The sequence below is a fragment of the Homo sapiens genome, chromosome 17 (genome assembly GCF_000001405.40).
Source record: "Homo sapiens chromosome 17, GRCh38.p14 Primary Assembly".
NCBI lineage: Eukaryota > Metazoa > Chordata > Mammalia > Primates > Hominidae > Homo > Homo sapiens.
In genome coordinates, this window is record NC_000017.11 from 6,328,079 (window position 1) to 6,346,960 (window position 18,882).

The following is an 18,882-nucleotide window of genomic DNA, read 5'->3' on the forward strand; positions in this document are numbered from 1 at the left end:
AATTGCTTGAACCTGGGAGGCGGAGGTTGCAGTGAGCCGAGATTGTGCCACTGCACAATCTCACTCTGGGCGACAGAGTGAGACTCCGTCTCAAAAACAAAAACAGACAAACAAACAAACAAAAATGCAGTGGCTTAAATGAGATAGTGTCTGTCTTATGCAAAGATGGGTGTGGGTTGAGAAAGGGTAAATGGCCTCATTCTACAAGGTCATTCGGGGCAGGCCAGTCAGCACTGCCAGCCTCAACATGGGACTTCCATCTCTGTGTCCAGGTGGTCTCCTACCATGGATGTTTCCCAACAAGCAAGAAGGTAGCAAAAGGGAATCCCGGTCAAGTGAGTTTGTCTTTAAGGTGGAACTCACGTGGCACTTCCACTCACATCCCATTGGCTCAAATTTAGTCACATGAGTCACTTGGCTTCTCTGACCACAAAGAAGGCTGGGAAATGTAGTTTCTAGCTTGGCAGTCATGTGCCCAGCTAGCACTTGGAAGATAGAATGAATAGTAGGAGACACTTAGCAGTATGGGGAAAATGACCACTCAGGATAATGGCCACAGATACGGAAGGGCCCACAAGATCTTCAGGAAAAGCAAACAGTCAATTGGGTACAAGCAGGCCTACACTCACATGTCTGCCTCAGATATTCTATGCACATTTGTACTCATATGAGCACTCCTGCAATCAGACACCGGCTCAGGTAAGCAAAATAATAAGAGTGAAACTGAGCATACCTCCTGGCTGTCAAGGTGCTGCAGATTCAAGAGATAGATGGTGGTGGGGCCTAAGGTGAAGCAGCCAAGTTGGAGAGAGGTATGTGAGTTCAATATCTATCTTACCTTTCCAACTCTGGAAGGTTGGAACTCAACTGGCATGAGTTCAGTTTGAGGACCACAAAGAGGGGGAGATCTGAACAGGCTAGACCTGAGAGGATCACAGACTTCGGGACATACCTCAAGTCAGACATATCACCGGTGTTCACTGCTCCATCAAGCTGGTGACCATTCACCATTTCTTTTCCCCTAACGGTCTGCCTTCACCATTTTGATCCCCACCAAAGTCTGCTATCTCACACCCTTCAGCCACATGCATTGTGGCAGGACTAATGTCTGATACTCCAAACGAGGTGACTCTTGATCAGATTCAACCCTGAACCAGAATCTTTCAAATGTTCTCCAGGGTCTCTGCTCTAAACCCAGGAAGGAATGCGGCTGATGAGTGCAGCGCACATCGGAATCCTACCCCGGCCACCAGCCCCAGCTCATGGCAGGGGTTAGAAACACCCCAGGGAAGAAAGAAATGTCAAAATGTCAAAATATCAAGTTCAAAGTGATCAAATGGGAGGCAGTCCACCAGCACAACTGTCACACTAGAAGAGGGCGAGTCTCTCCCAAAGTCTGTACCTTCAACAGGAGACCATCAGAAGAGCTTCTGGAATTCACCATGCACTATTCACATATCACTCAACATACATTAACAGCTCAAGTGGATTCACATCAGCTCAATCATAATTATTTGTCAAAACCACTTTTTCCCTCATTATTTCCTGCTGAGAGTGTGAGATTATACAAATTTATGTTGTAGTTATCACAGATTCTAACAGCATCACAAAGGAAGAGAAATTAACCCCCTACTTATTAGAAAATGTTTAGCTCAACTCTCTAGGAGAAGTCAATTTACTAGGTTAAATTTTCTGAAATTGCATAAAGATGCTAGTCCAACAACCCACCATAACAGAGTGGCATTATCTGCTGTTTTACTAGAGGACCTGCTGCCAACAACCTTAATGATTTATAGTTAAAATGTATTTATCAAGAAATTGTCACGCTAGTTATAGCCTGAACCAGAGACTGGGACCCACATTCTGTTTTCTGGAAGACTTGGGTCTTGGTGAACAATAATAATAATAATACCTATGGGGTCCTTTCAGTTCTAGGCAAAGTTTGTTGTGCTCAGCCAGTTACATACAAGCATCGTTCCTCACATGGACCATGGCCATTCTTTCCTAACTGCTCTCCCACATCTACGCTGGCCCCTACCCCACCCCACCCATATTTCATGGTACACCCAGAGTGATTAGTCAAAATCACGATCTGATACTATCCTTCTCTCCCACTACAGGGCCTTTGCACAAGCTCTTTCCTCTGTCTGGAATCCTCTTTCTATCCCTCTTCACCTTCCTACTCATCCTTCAATTTAAGCCCCTTTTCATTAGGAGCAAAAACCAGTCTTTACAAGGGCCTGCAGGTACGTGTCCACTGTCTGTATCATCCTAACAGGGGTACTCTTGAGAGTGACATGAGATGCTGTTAATACTTATGCCAGAAGTATAGGTACAAATGAACCTATCCTGGGCAATCCAGGACCAGGCTCTCCTGGCCTGGCCCTCTCCACCTCTCTGGTCTCGTCGCCTACCATGTGCTCCCTTAATTGCTCCAGGATTCCTGGGCTCCTTGCTGCTCCTCAGTCATGCGAGGCCTAACACCCACCTTCAGGCCATTGTGCTGGCTATTCCCCCTGGCTTCCCCCAGAAGTCAGCCAAACAAACTCCTTCACCTCTTTCAAGTTGCTGCTTAGATGTCACCTTCTCAAGCTCACCCTGAGTGTCCTGATGATAACTTTTATCATCTGCTTCTTTGCCCAAACCCATGGATGGCAGAGCTGGGTCATAGTGACATTGTGAATGTTACCAGCTCATATCCCAGACATCTGAAACACTAGCATAGTCAACAATTACACACACTGATTCACTGGTGTGTCCTCTCTGATTATGGTGTATCCCTGGAGGGTAGCTCCAGAGACCCCAGGCAAAATGACCCAGCACAGAATTCTGGACCTGTCCTTGTAGAGCCCCAGCTCTCTACTCTCTGTCCCCACCATGCTAGGGAAACCTGGCTGACAAGCAATGCCCCCAGTCACAGACTTAACACTTCAAGTGTCTGCCTCCTAGATGACAACCTGAGCAGCTCAGCCAGGCAGCAGGAGGAGCCCAATGGCCCCATGGGGATGGAGCATCCTGTAAGTTGGAAGATGCCCTGGAGTCCTCCATGCCCAACCGCCCTGTGGTAGTATACAAAATAAGAAACCCAACTCAAACCGAAAAATCAAGGGTGGGGAAGGAATCTAATGTCTCATGTAATTGGGCATTGTAGTTTAGCTGGCCTTAGGCATGGTGGGGTCCAAGAGGTCCAATAGTGTCACAGGACACTGTTTCATTGTGTTCTCACTAAATTCCCAGGGAGGGCCTCCCCATGTGGCAATAAAGTGGCCACTGCCAGCTCTAGACCTCCATCTTCCTCACAGCTGGTCATACCAGTGGAAGGAGAGAAACTTTTGTTGCAGCAAAAATTCCAGAGAAAGCTCTCATTTGCCCAACTTGGATCACATGTCCATGGCTGAACCAATCGCTGAGACCAAGGCATGAGATACTTTGATTGGAAGGTCTGGGTCACATGCTCAGGTGGAAGAGTCACCCAAAACATATGGTTACCCAAAGCCATGTTGAACACTCAAAAAATTATATGTGTGTCCCTGACACTCATCTAATAGGAAGGGGCTGTGTTGCACAAAGGGAAGACATGAGCTCTACAGAGCTTTGAAGTAGATATCTAAGACTTGACTTTGCCACTGTCTCTAGGTGACTTCAGACAAGACGTTTTATTAATACCTCACAGAGCCTTAGATTTCTCAAATGTGATGAGAGGATGCAGTGCTCTGCTCTACCAGACCCTAGAGCATACTATGAGGATGAAATGAGGAAGGACCGTTCTCCCCTAGAGATGGCTGAGGTGTCCATCGTCGGGAGTACAAGGGAACAGGCATGTCCATGTTTCTGAACCACATCTCCAAGCTCCAGTAGGCTCTGTGCTGGAGCATGAGTTTCTTTTCCACTAAACAACTCGAAGGAAAGAACAACTTTGCTTCCCACTTATTTGGTGTTTAGATGCTGCCTCCCTCCCACCACCTCCACCTGCTAGCTGAGAGGCACCATCTCTGAGCCCAGAGGATGCAAGATCCATCACTCCTGTACAGAGTTCACACCATGCAGCTGTGACCTGAGCAACACATCCACAATTAGCTAATATGGATCATTTTTAACAGAAAACGAAGCATGAAATATGCAAACATAATGAGCCCTTCACTGAAATTCCAGTAGCTGCTACAGGGTAACCAATTTGAATAGCAGTTGCAATTCCCGGGGAGGAAACCCCCATTAATAAGAACAATGTTGAAATTGTTATGTATGGACTCTGAAACTCACTCGATAATTAATCCAGTCGATAAACATGGTATTAGTCCTCCCACACTATGCAACTTAAATGAGGCTTTTATTGAAATATTGGGTCCAGTTTCAGACTTAGCAGCTAATCTGGAGCAAGTGGGGATGTTGGCAATGGCATGAAGACCAATGCAAGAGCCAGAGTGAGTGACAGAAGACACAGCTTGTCTTGTAGGCCTAGAGAAGACCTCCATATCACCAGGCTCCCAACATAACAAAAGCCCAGTATCAAGCACTGGCTTGGATGCCCCATGCCAAGCGTGTGCCAAGCTTCCAAACAGTGCTGTTTAGAGGTCACTAATTATTGCTAATTATTGGTCTTCCCAAACCCATCTGTGTGTGATGGGTAGCAACACCATGTATGTTTTCAGAGCTCACTCAGTTTTTTATTTCCTGCCTTCCTGGAACCCCCTCTAGCTGGTAGAAGAGAGACATTGAAAGCATCAGGCTTGGGTGTTGGACCAAGGTTCAAACACAGGCTCAGCCACTTTCTTACCAGCTCTTTGCCCTGCAGTTTATGGAAGTCCTTTCCCAGTCTGTAAATAATACAAGTGCCTACCTTTTAGGGATTTTTCTGAAGAATAAATAACATAATGGGTATTAAGTACACCCATTATGTAGGTACAGCATGCCTACCTTTTAGGGATTTTCTGAAGAATAAATAACATAATGGGTGTTAGGTACTCAGCCATGTGTCTAACTGGGACACATTGCTATCCATTTCTTTCACCCAAGACTGGTTCTCAGAGGCATACAGGTAACAAGTTGCTCTGCACCAAAGTCCGTTTCTCATGCACTCTTTTATTTCTTTTTCTTTCTTTCTTTCTTTCTTTTTTTTTTTTTTTTCTGAGAGAGACTCTTGCTCTGTCACCCAGGCTGGAATGCAGCAGTGCTTTCTTGGCTCACTGCAACCTCCACCTCCTGGATTCAGGTGATTCTTCTGCCTCAGCTTCCTGAGTAGTGGGATTACAGGTGCGCTCCACCACCCACAGCTAACTTTTGTATTTTTAAGAGAGACAGGGTTTCACCATGTTGGCCAGGCTGGTCTTGAACTCCTGACCTTGTGATCTGCCCATCTCGGCCTCCCAAAATGCTGGATGGCAGGCATGAGCCACTCCTTCGCATGCACTCTACAGCATTCAGGCTGGAGTTGGCTCCTGATATCACGAGGACCTGGACTGCAGGAATTAGGAAGCCTTCTGAGATACCACACTCATTGCATGCAGGCTATACTTAAAGATCCATTTTATGAAATGTTAGCCATGAGTTGACAACTGTTGAAACTGGATGGTGGATACATAGGGGTTCATTGCACTGTTCTCTCTAGTTTCATATATGTTTCATTGGTTTGAGTTTTTTTTTTTTAAAGACCTATCTAAAGTGAGTTTATTTGGGTTTTTTAATTCCACAGCTAGGAGCAATCCTGGCAAATTCATACCTGGGCATTTCTCTTGCCACTCTGTTGAGGAGGCGTCTCGGGGTTCAGTCGCCAGGACATGCCTGGTGAAGCTTAGATCCCTATTGTGACTGGCAATAAGACAAGGCAAGTGTACTTCAGGAGACCCTACCACCTCCATTGTTTTAAGAACACTGGGGAACATAAGTAATCCGAGTAGAGATCTTAACTAAGAAACAAATTATTAACTATTAACAGATGAAATGCAATGAGATTCTAATTGATATATTTCCTAATTGTTCCTTGCCTCAGGTCATATGATGCATAACTGGTATAATTAAGAATAGAACTCAAGTTTTCTGCTTCTACACAATAGAACTCAAGTTTTCTGCTTCTACATCTGGTATTTTTTTCTGCTATATATACAGATACTTCTGTATCTCCAGTGGCTCTAACATGCAGCCATTATGCTAGCAAGCATAACAATAGCAACAAAAGCCATAGCAGGTAATATTTATTGAGGATTTCCTCTGCCGTGAACTTACTAAGCTTTTTAATGCATAATCTCATTTAATTCTATAAATACATTTTTAAAATAAAATAACTTTTGAAGAGGCTAATATTATTATCCCCATTTTACAGATGAGAAAACTGAGGCTTAAAGTCATGAAGTAACATTGAAGTAACTAATTGTATACAGCCTTGGAATGGTAAGGTTTGGCATTCCGCCTCGATCTATCCTGTATGCATCTGGAAGTGCCTGGTTGCTGCACAAGAGTCTAGAGTTTATTTAACAGCCTCTATTAGGCATTTGGGCTCTTTCCAATTTCTTCATTCTCACAAATGATGTTGCAATAGACATCCTTGTACAGGATTCGGATCTCACGTCTGTCTTTTCTGTTCAGTATAAAAGCTGCCCACGATCAGGGATTTTTGCTCATTTTGTGTACTTCTTCTGATCTTCAGTACACAGAACAGAGACTGGCATAAAGTCAAGTCAATAAATATTTGTTGAATGGATGTAAGGATGGATAGATTGGTTGATGGAAGGGAGAGAGGAAGGACAGCAGGAAGGAGGAAGAAGGAAAGAAGGAAGGGGGAAAGGAAGGAAGGAAGTGGGGAAGGAAGGAAGGAAGGGGAAGGGAAGGGGTGGATGGCTGGATGGGCAGGCGTATGGATGGGAGTGGGATTAATTCTCCAGTGTAGACACCCAGAAGTCTATAGATCTTGCCTCTGAGGACCACACTGTTAGGACAGTGATCCTCAACTTTGGCTGCATCTTAGAATCTCCTAAAGACTTTTTTTTTTTTTTTTTGAGACGGAGTCTTGCTCTGTCGTCCAGGCTGGAGTGCAGTGGCAGGATCTCGGCTCACTGCAACCTCCACTTCCCAGGTTCAAGCAATTCTCCTGCCTCAGCCTCCTGAGTAGCTGAGATTACAGGCACCCGCCACCACGCCCAGCTAATTTTTTTTGTATTTTTAGTAGAGACGGGGTTTCACCATGTTGGTCAGGCTGGTCTCGAACCCCTGACCTCATGATCCACCCGCCTCGGCCTCCCAAAGTGCTGGGATTATAGGCGTGAGCCACCGCACCCGGCCTCCTAAAGACCTTTTTAAAAATTGATGGTGATCCCCTCTGCAAATATTCAGATTTAACAGGCCTGGGATGTGACCTGCGCATTGGAATGTTTAAAAGCTCCTCAGGTGATTTCAATGAGCAGAACCGCTGGATAGGGCAAAACTCTTATCATTCACAGGAGCACGTGTTAAAAAGCCAACTATATCTTCCCATTGTAAGAAGGCAACCAGGCCATTTCACTTCTTGGCTTTAGCACTTTAGAAGAATTGAAAGCAGAAGGCCTCCTGAAGACAGCTCTTCTCCATCTTTCGTGACATCAGGGTGGTGTCCCTGAGGGGAGAGAGGCGAGTGAGCTTCCCCAACCTGGAATGGGAAGGGATTGGCAGTCTCACAGCAGTCAAGGGACCTTTAGACCCTAGATGGTCCTGTCCCACTCCCCAGACCTACAAAATCTGAATCTCTGGGTATAGAACCCAGAAAGCTGCACTTTCAATAAGCACTTCAAGTGATTCTGAGGCACCGTAAAATTGGAAGAGGACTAATCTATAAAAATAGGTGAAGCAAGATTAATTCTAATAACATGAATCAGTCCAAACCTTCATTCTGTAACTCAAATATTCAAGAAATATTACATTTCTTTATTTTCTTTAAATCTAATTAAACCATACTTTGTGACTCTACCCCATCACTGTAGCAGAGATGCCATTGTTATTCACAGTTACTTTGGACTGATTGTTACCATTTCATGTTGTGTCTTCTATTTCTTCTGGTTGTTCTTCTTGTCTGCCCACCTTACTTCTTACCTATTATTGGGTGGACTAAGTATATTTATCACATTTTCCTCTCTGATATTTAATATTTTTCCTTCTAATAGTTTTGATTTTTACAGAGAATGTCCTTAAATATTTCATATTCATACTTAAACCTATATTACCTGTCGGTATCTAGAAGTAATCAGTATCTATATCTTCTCCCTGAACAGAACAAAATTCTGAGTATTCTTTGCTTCCTTTCACCCCTCTCCGTATACCTTCCCTGTCTGTTGTCTCACAGTACATCGTCTAAGACATTAATTCCAGCTTGCTGTTATTCTTCACAATCAAATATTACTTATCTTCAAATTTTATTGTTTTTTTGCATACCACTGCATCTTGTATCCCAATGTCTTCTTCAATTCTTCTTTCATGTCTAGTCATTTTTTCAGATGGATTATGAGAGGTAAGCTTTCTGGGTCCTTGCTCAACTGAAAATATCTTTACCCTCCAGGGCATTTGAGGCAAGGTATGTAATTCTAGCTTTAAATTACCTTCCCTTAGAGCTTGGAGTACATGGCTCCTTCTATTCTTGTATTCAGTGTTGCTCATACTTGTTATTTTATATAGACTCTGTTTCTCTGTTTCTTTTTTCTCTCGTGCCCTTTCTGAAAGGTTTTATGATCTTTCTCTTTATCCTTGGCGTTGCAAGAGTTTTCTATGATCGGTCTGGCGTTTGGTGCATATTTTACTCAACATGTTTGACCCTTTGGCACCTTCCAATAACAATGACAATAACATTAATGTTAATAGCTTGCATCGAGTTTTTTCACATGGCCAGGCTATTCTGAGTGTGCTTTACTCAGGTGATACTTTCCACACCCTATGTTGGATACTATCATTATGCCCATTTTACAGAAGAGGAAACTGAGCCACAAGAAAAGCATATCTTTCTTCAGTCGGGAAATTATTTATTTTAGAATTTCCTCCATTTCTTTCTTTCTCTCTGCTAATTCCCATTTGTCAGGCATTGGAAATTGGAAGTCAATCTCAATGTTTGATGCTTTGTCCTTGGGCAGTGTGTTTTAGATTTCCTCAGCTTGATGGTTGAGCTCATTGATCCCCATATAACTGTGACTTTTCTGAGACTGAGTCCATCCACAGAGGCCTGCAACCACACCCATCACTGAGACAAGAAAGAGGCCAAACTGCCTGTCTGCTTCACCCTGGTAGTTGCCCCCTGGCTCTCTCCTTGCCCCCATCAGCCGTCTGCACACCCATAGACTCATAACTCCCATTTTTTACAGCAGTATTTGCTGTTAATTCTATTCCATTTGCTTTCTATCCTCTAAAATTTTTGTTAATAATGTCTGGTCCATCAAGGACATGCTCTTTGCTTTAAATGCTACAATAAATTGTTTATATCTTTTTATCATTTCTAGGGATTTGGATCAAAAAGATAAACAAGTGCTTAGTTCACCAACTGACCCAATCTCCTTCTGATGGATGCAAAGAGCAGAGATTCTGGTCATCTTGAGAAATGGGGATTCATTGAGGAACATGTCTAACCATGAGGTAGACAGGTATCTCTGACTTGTGCCCACGCCTTCCAGGGAAAATAGAGAGCATGGCCTGGCTGCATCTCAAAGGGCCTGGAAAGCTCTTTAAGAATGGGAAAGCAGGTTGGGCATGGTTGCTCATGCCTGTAATCCCAGCACTTTGGGAGGCCAAGGTGGGTGGATCACCTGAGGTCAGGGGTTCGAGACCACCCTGGCCAACATGATGAAACCCCGTCTCTACTAAAAATATTAAAAAATTAGCTGGATGTGGTGGCAGGCACCTGTAATCTCAGCTACTTGGGGAACTGAGGCAGGAGAATTGCCTGAACCCAGGAGGTGGAGGTTGCAGTGAGCCCAGATCATGCCTCTGCACTCCAGCCTGGGCAACAGAGTGGGACTCCGTCTCGGAAAAAAAAAGAAAAAAAAAACGGGAAAGCTGTGCAGAATTAAGACCCTCTCATGGTGTTGTACCAACCCTTCAGCTCCGGAAGCTGAGGATGGCAGCTCTGATGCTCTACCGCTAACTCTGTCTCTACTTGTCCTCCTGCTGCCATCTGATGAAGTCCTCTGTATCCTGCTGCCATCTGATGACGTCCTCTGTACCCTGACTTTAAATTTCTGAGAGGAAGACTCTGATTGGTCCAGTTAGTCATTATTATTCTTGTGGCTTCGACACCCCCTCAGCCCGACAAACCCATGGACTGACCACCTTGAGATCCAATGCCCCCACGGCTCCAATCAGTTCAAGTTTTCATGGTGGGAGCCACGTGGTCGCCATATGGAACCCCTTGAAGTGGACTGTGGTTGAGGCTGACGCTCTGAGACTCATCCTTCCCAAAGCAATGTCTAAGGATCCTCCCAGATGTAAATATCTGGGGCCTGTAAGTGTATCTGCAGGCTCACGAATAAGCCCAACTCATGTTTATACAAACTACCCATCAGGAAAGAAGAAATGCTCCTGATTCCCATTTCTGATGGTTAATTTTATGTGTCGATTCGACTGGGCAACAGGGTGCCCAGATTAAACACTGCTTCTGGGTGTGTCTGTGAGGCTGTTTCTGGATGAGATTAGCATTAGAATCAATGGACTCAGTAGATTGTCCTCCCCAGTGTGGGTGAGTATCATCCAGTCAATGAGGGCCTGAATAGAACCCAAAGGGACAGGAAGGAGGAATTCATCCCTTTTGCCATCTCCCTGCTTGCTTGAGCTGGGACATCAATCTACTCCTGCCCTTCAGCTGGGCCATTGGCTCCCCTGTTTCTTAGGCCTCTGGACTCAGACTGGAGTAACACCACAACACCACAAGCTTTCCTGGGTCTCTAGCTTGCAGAACAAAGACTGTGGAACTTCTTAGCCTCCATAATCATGTAGCCAATTCCTCACAAATATATGTGTATTTATTCATGTGTAATATATAATATTTCTGTTCATTTTTTTCTCTGGAGAACCCTAATACGCCATTAGATCCATGTTCCTCTGAGAAATCAGCATCTCTACAAACCCAGGCAGTGAGCTCCATGACGAGGATTTAGCTGATGTAAGGGAAAGTTTTGGGTTAGAAATACCAGAGTTAACACCCCCAAGAAAGAGGTTATAATGCTTCGGAAAAAATTCACAAGCGGGGTAAGTTCCTGGTTCATAATACTACACCCTTCTCTAGGAATTACCCCAGTATATGCTATTAATAGTAAGGTCCTTTTGGCTTTAAGACCGCCCCTCTCCACTCCCCACTTGACCACCGATGACTGGTTGACACAGGGTTGAGCACCTGACCCAAGCTGGGCCAATCAAAAATTTCTTTCTCCTTCTGAGAATGTGAAATTTAAAAGAATACCCTTAACTAATATAGGGCCCACCTCAGAGCAGAAACCACATGGCACAGCCTCTGCTGTAACAGACAATCTGCAAAGAAGTATCCTGATTGATTATAATTTCTGATGCAATCAATCTCTTTGATCCATGCCTTGACCACTGCCTAAGCCATGACCCTAGCTACACACTGACCTTGACTTCAGCCCTCACTGAGCCTTATTCCTGGCCAGATGTTGAACTCTGGCCCCTGCCACAGAATTAAACCCTGACGTGGTCATAGATGATTCTATGCCTTCGTCACAAACTGAACTCTGACCCCCAGCAACATACCAATCCTTGACTCTCTCTAGTCACCCTGGAACATACACTATTGTCACAAGTGGCCACGGTATGCGATGGTTTCCCTCCACACAACTGGGGGTACATCTTGTTTACCATAAGGCAGCCTGCCCGGGACCTCCACCCCATGTACTGAGCATGGCTAATCTCTGGATCTGCTGCTTTGACTCTGGGCCCAGATGTTACTGGTGGAGTTGCATCCTGGAAACATTCTCTCACTGTGGGACCCAATGCCCAGAACGACGGCCACAATCTGTTCTTTGACCTAAAGGAATCTGGCATGAGCAGACATAGCTCAGACTCACACAACCTCTCTGCAAGAAAACCTAAGCAAACGCCAGTGGTTGGAATCATCTAAAGAAAGACCTGATGATTATCCAGTCAACTGGAAGGTCCTCAGAGTCAGCCTCAACAGCTCTCTCTTCTTTGTACCAACACCTGCTTGTTTTCAAGATCTGTCCATTCTACATCCCAAATGCTTCCCCTGTGAATTCCTTCTCTCCATCTTCACCCAATTCTTCCTTGGTACAAGCTGGCACCCACAGCCTCCTTACTAACTGGAATTCCTACTTCCAGTCTCACCTTCTCCTCCCTGACCCTCACCCCAATCCGTCACCAAGTGTACTTGCAAAAAATCAAATACATGCTCATTAATGCCCTTCTGCTCACAACTTGTCTGTGGCTTCCCACTGCCCTCCAGGTAGATTCCAGCTTCCTGGGCATGGCATTCCAGGCCCTTCACGATCGGGTCTAAAGCGTGAATCTAAGGAAGAAGAGAGCTTATTTCTCATGCAGACCATTTGTCCCCAAGTGCTTGTGGGCCTCCACTCAAACCCTTCTGTGGAGGAGATGATGGCTTTATAGTTAGAATCTGTCATTTCCTAAAGTGGAGAGTGGTGGTGCGGGGTTGGGGGGGGGTGGTTATAATTATACGTACATTGCAAATTAAAGCTGTTATTAATCAAAGCATCCCTAAAAATATCAAAGACGTAATGTGACGTCTCAGAGCTCTTGTCCCGCTGGCTCCAGTGCAGATCCAAAAGGAAGCTGACCTTTTCCACAGCCGGATTATAAATGTCAGGATTGCATGGTACCATCCTTCAATTACTGTCACCTTGAAAGGGGAGAGCGCTGGAGGCCTCACACTTAAGTGTTTTCAATCACAGATATATTTCAAACACTGTCTCCTTGAGAGAGGAGCACTGGGCTCTGGAAGCTGGTACAGCCCCCACTGTGGCTTCTGTGTCACGTGCAGTGACCCAGAAAGTTAGTAACTTAAAAGACAATTTGGAGTTGATCAGAACTGCCCATTTAATCCCCTCCTGTTCCAACAAACTAAAGATTTAATTATTCTTCAATTGCTATTTGCAGAAGCACCACAGGACAAAGATGCCTCCATGAGGTATCTCCTAAATACAGATCACCGTAGATTGCTTTCCCCTTTACAAAATCACGTTTTTATTGTGCAGCTTTAAGCAAGATAAAAACTTTCCTTCTGGTCATATTTCTATTCTTCATTCAAAGTCTCCATGCAACAAGAAGGCAGAGAGGGTTGAGTCCAATAAGCAGGAAAAACCAATTCAATTTCCAGGCGGATCTGATGCTATGATATTTATAGAACACACATATCACATTAGCATCTTGCCATGCTATAATATAATTTCTTCATCTGTCTCCTGTAACCTATATTTACAGTAGGGATATTTTCCCTTCTGCACTTAACAAGGCATATTATTGAATTTTAGTTATTATAAAACATGGCCAATCAATATAATTCTCTGTTCCTCTTTTTTTTTTTTTTTTTTTTTTGAGATGGAGTCTCACTCTGTCACCCAGGCTGGAGTGCAGTGGCGCGATCTCTGCTCACTGCAAGCACCACCTCCTGGGTTCACGCCATTCTCCTGCCTCAGCCTCCCGAGTAGCTGGGACTACAGGCGCCTGCCACCATGCCCGGCTAATTTTTTGTATTTTTGGTAGAGATGGGGTTTCACCTTGTTAGACAGGATGGTCTCAATCTTCTGACCTCGTGATCCACCCACCTCGGCCTCCCAAAGTGCTGGGACTACAGGCGTGAGCCACGGCACCTGGCCTGTTCCTCTTTTTAACAGAACATCCTGGGTCTAATTTGAACTGGGAAGTCTGGCCCCATCACAAAGAGGAGAGTTGTAAATTCAACAGGCCTCACCAGGGAGCTTTGCTTCACTGTGGCCATCCTTCACAGCCAAATACATTCTGCTTCCAAGTTCGATGGTGCCAGAACTCCGGGTGGTCATCACGGTGGTCAGAGCCAGTGGACAGCCTGACCCATGAGCTCCACCAGCTGGTGGTTGGCCTATATCCTGGCCCATTTCACTCAGACACATGGCAGAACTTGTCCCTGCCTTGGGATCCCAGTGACTCAGATTCTTCACCCCCAGCCCCAGAAAGCAGGAAACAAGCATAGCTGGGAGGAGGATGTTTCATAGGGCAGACGTCGTTGATCTTAAACCCATTCTCCAAAAGCCTTTCCCATGCTTCAAAGGTTGATGTGGTGATTGTTTAGAGTGCAGTGAAAAGACTTTAGAGGAAACAGCCCAGAACCAGACTGTGAACCATGCCCAGTCCCTCCTCACGTCCACACTACACACAAATCCTGTTGGTTACGCCTTGAAAATGTACTGCTACATGCCCAATGGATGGGTTCAGTCTCTTCGTGGGTGCCAGCCCAATAACCACAACAAAGAAGGACTTAACAAGGGGATTTTATTACTTGCAGCAAGTAAGGGGACCACAGGGGATAATTCCTAAAACAGTGCCTCCTAAACAGAGGGCTGGGTCAGGTTTTATAGGCATGAAGTAATGAGGCATGATCTGATTGGATCTTGCAATGAAGTGATGCTGGGAGGCATGATCTGATTGGATCCTTCCATGAGATGATGCTAGGGATTGACCTGATTGGATCCTGGGTCCTGCCATGTCCACTTCTTAATTCAGTCCCCCGATCGTCAGTCCAAGCCCTTAGGTTCCCCCTCTGGCTGCACACTTGGTTCATCTGGGCATGCTCAGGTTATGTGACCTTCAACCTGAGGGTCACGGCAACTGAAAAACAATTCATAACTTTGTTTCTTACAAGTTGAACCAAGCTGGGCTCAGTGGCTTACGCCTGTACTCCTAGCACTGTGGGAGGCTGAGGCGGGAAGATTGCCTAAGCTCGGAGTTCGAGACCAGGCTGGGCAGCACGGTGAAACCCCATCTCTGCTAAAATACAAAAAATTAGCCGGGCATGGCAGTGTGTGCCTGTAATCTCAGCTACTTGAGAGGCTGAAGCAGGAGAATCGTTTGAACCTGGGAGGCAGAGGTTGCAGTGAACCAAGATCATGCCATTGCACTCCAGCCTGGGCAATAGAGCAACACTCCATCTCAAAAAAAAAAAAGTTGAACCAGATTGGAACCAGATTGGTCTGATAAGGTTACAGTATCAAGAATCCAAACATGTCTGAACACCTCCATGACTACACCCTGGTCCAAGTCATATCTCCCCTGGCCCTTTGCTGAGACCTTGTGACTGCCTCTCAGCCTTGGCTCTCACCTGCCCACACTCTATCCTCAACAGAGCAGCTAGACTGAGTCTTTTAAAACAGAAGTCCAGGCCAGGCGTGGTGGCTCACTCCTGTAATCCCAGCACTTTGGGAGGCCGAGGTGGGCAGATCACCTGAGGTTGCAAGTTCGAGACCAGCCTGAGAAACTCCGTCTCTACTAAACATGGAGAAACTCCATCTCTACTAAAAATACAAAATTAGCCAGGCGTGGTGGTGCATGCCTGTAATCCCAGCTACTTGGGAGGTCGAGGCAGGAGAATCGCTTGAACCTCGTAGGCAGAGGTTGCAGTGAGCCGAGATCGCGCCATTGCACTCCAGCCTGGGCAACAAGAATGAAACTCTGTCTCAAAAAAACAAAACAAAACAAAAAAAAAACACAGAAGTCTGATCCTTTCATTCTTACATGCTTCTGCTTCAAAGCCCTTCAGCGGGCTCCCCATCTCTCTCAGAAGAGAAGTCTCCCATGAGACCTACAAGGCCCAATGGCCTCCAGCTTCATCCCTCTCCCTCTCTCCATTTCAGCCCAGCTGGCCTCTGCTGTTCCTTGACTGAACAGCATGCCTGGCCCCAGGGTCTCCACTGGTGCGATTCCCTCTGCCTGGACTGGTCTCCCAGGACCCACGAGACCTGTTCCCTGGCCATTTCAGGCCTTCTCTGACAATCCACTTAAAATAACAGCTGCCCCACCCCAGCATCCCCACCCTGTTTGATTTTTCTTCAAACTATTTATCACCATCCAATATGCTAAATATGGTCCTTCTCCTCCCACTAGAATGTATACTCAACTAGGGTAGGGATTACTTTCAACTTTCTTGGCTTAATGTTTATTTCATTTCTATTTTCATGTTTTCTAACATTTTATCACTAATTTTTTCAAACATAAGGAAAACTCAAACAATTGTACAATGAACACTCACATACCCACCTCCCAGGTGCTACAATTGTTAACATTTTGCAACATTTGCTCTTTCCCATATCTAACCATCTATCCAACCCTCTATCCATCCATTAACCCATTTTGGTTTTTTTGTTTGTTTGTTTTTTGTTGTGTTGTGTTGTTTTTGTTTTTTGAGACAGAGTCTTGCTCTGTCTCCCAGGCTGGAACGCAATGGCACGATCTTGGCTCATTGCAACCTCCACCTCCCAGGTTCAAGTGATTCTCCTGCCTCATCCTCCTGAGTAGTTGGGATTACAGGCACCTGCCACCATCCTCGGCTAAATTCTTTTGTATTTTTAGTAGAGACAGGGTTTCACCACGTTGACCAGGCTGGTCTCGAACTCCTGACTTCACGATCTGCCCGCCTCAGCTTCCCAAAGTGCTGGGATTACAGACGTGATTAGCGGGCCTGGCCAACCCACCTTGTTTTTGCCGGCACTCCGAGTAAGCTGTAGACATCCCTATGCTTCACCACTAAATCTTTCGGCATGTGCGTCATCTACTAAAGTTCGAGATCGGTATAAAACTCCTTTGTATTTTTGGAGACAAAATTTACGTCAAGTGAAATGCACAAATCTTCAGTGTGCCACTCAAGAAGCTTTGACAGATGTCAAATGTTACTCGTGTAACCCAAGCCTTTACCAAGATACAGAAAATTACCTTCACCCGGAAAATTCCTTCATGCCCCTTCTTTGTTTATCTCCAGAGAACAGAGACCTTTATCTGCTTTGTTCACTGGCTGTGTTCCCCGGCACTCAGAAGGGTGTTCGGCACATAACAGATATTCAAAAACTATTTGTAGGATAAATCAATCAATGATCCTATGTAGGGGTCAGATTCAAGGGAATTGAGTTTTTAGTCTCTAAGATCAGCTCTTGGGCTAAAACCTGGTTTCATGGGAGCATAAATAAAATTCCTGAGCGCCTAGCCAGGTCTGAGGGTACAAATGAAACTGCAGTTCTGGACCATACAGCTAGGATGGGGTAAATGCATTCCAAGGAACCCCTCCCATCTTTGAACATATGCCCAGCAGCAGTCCAGCCTCCTGAAGCCAAAGACCATTACACACTGCTTGGATGCAGCCCGATCAACAGACACGGCAGAGCCAAGAAGGGGTCTCAGGAGGGGGTTTAGCCACTCCCCGCAAGGACCAGCAGCCCCCAACTCTGCCACAAATAAAAGCAAGAATGATATTCATATTTTTTGAGATGGACAATTGATATTTTCTCAATCTTAGGCAAAGTCTGAATAAAAGCACTTTTTTTTTTTTTTTGAGACAGAGCTTTGCTCTTGTCACCCAGGCTGGAGTCCAACGGCACAATCTCAGCTCACTGCAACCTCTGCCTCCTGGGTTCAAGCAATTCTCCTGCCTCAGCCTCCCAAGTAGCTGGGATTATAGGCACCCACCATCACGCCCGGCTAATTTTTGTATTTTTAATGGAGACAGGATTTCACCATGTTGACCAGCCTGGTCTTGAACTCCTGACCTCAGGTGATCCATCTGCCTCAGTCTCCCAAAGTGCTGGGTTTACATACGTAAGCCACCGCGCCCGACCAATAAAAGCATACTTAGGAAAATGTTTTTATTCACCTCAATGATATAATAAGTTTTTTTTAAAGTGTATTTGCTCTGCCATAAAGCTTTAAGAGGAGTCCCAGCACCACTTCCCTCCGGATTGCTACACCTAAATTCTCCTCATATAGAAAGTCAAGAGGCAACAAAGAAAGCAGTGGACAGAACATGGTTAAATAGCAAATATTTCCCCTACACACACACACACACATACACACACACACACACACACACACACACACACACACACACACAGCTGCTCCAGAAGAGACTGTTTACTGTGCTAAGTAGGAAGAGGCAGCATCCACATTTCTGTGGATTCAGTGAGAAAGCTGGAGAGGGAAACTTTCAATCACTGCTAAAATCCAGGTCATGGAAATACAGACCCAGAACAGAAATGCACAGGGCAAGACAGCAGAGACAGCTACAGTGCCAGGAAAGCAAAGAGAGGTTGTTCCAGGGCAAGATGAGTGACAGGGACTATGTGGAGGGGAGGGCTTGGAAGGCAGAGGGACGTAGCTGGCGGCTGCCTGCCCAAAACAAAAACAGTGAGCCATGGAATATGCAGGCTCTCTGCTTGGTGCCTAAGCTGGAAGCCATCACCCACATACAAAGAATTTCAGTTTGATTCAACTCAGCACACATTTACTGGACATTCGCTCTGTGCCAGGTGCTGGCAGCAGCCCATCAAGATACATGTGGCTGTCTCCAGTCTCAGACAGCTCCTGGTGAAGGTGGAGAGACAGAGAACATAGGCAACAGTACGGTGTGGCCAGGCTCTGATGCACGCAGTGCCCAAGCTGCCGCAGTGCCTGTTGCCAACTGGTCTTCCTAGCACAGCCTGGGGCAGGACACCAGGAGGAGGATGCCTGAGATAGACCCAAACAGCTCTCTTTCTCAGGAATTAGTCCCCCTAATTCCTGATTCTTGCTGGATCCGCAATTGACAGCATACCTCGTGGAATATTACCTGTAGTTGAGTATGCAGATGAGTATGGTAACTGTAAACTGTTTCATGTTATGGATTCAAGGCTTAGGTCAATCTCAGTTAACTCTTTGGCCAAAGGCGACCTCCAGGTC

The 18,882-nt window shown here is 45.5% G+C and overlaps 1 long non-coding RNA gene across 2 annotated transcripts in view; it reads right to left on the reverse strand.

Moving 5' to 3' along the window:
- Positions 1-14,440: 14,440 nt before the first annotated feature.
- The window catches only part of LOC105371509 (uncharacterized), a 32,601-nt gene continuing 28,159 nt past the window's right edge, over positions 14,441-18,882 (reverse strand). For both annotated transcript variants that reach the window (XR_934188.3, XR_934187.2), the window contains one exon: positions 14,441-14,793. This is a non-coding gene — a long non-coding RNA (uncharacterized LOC105371509). The remainder of the gene's footprint in view (positions 14,794-18,882) is intronic.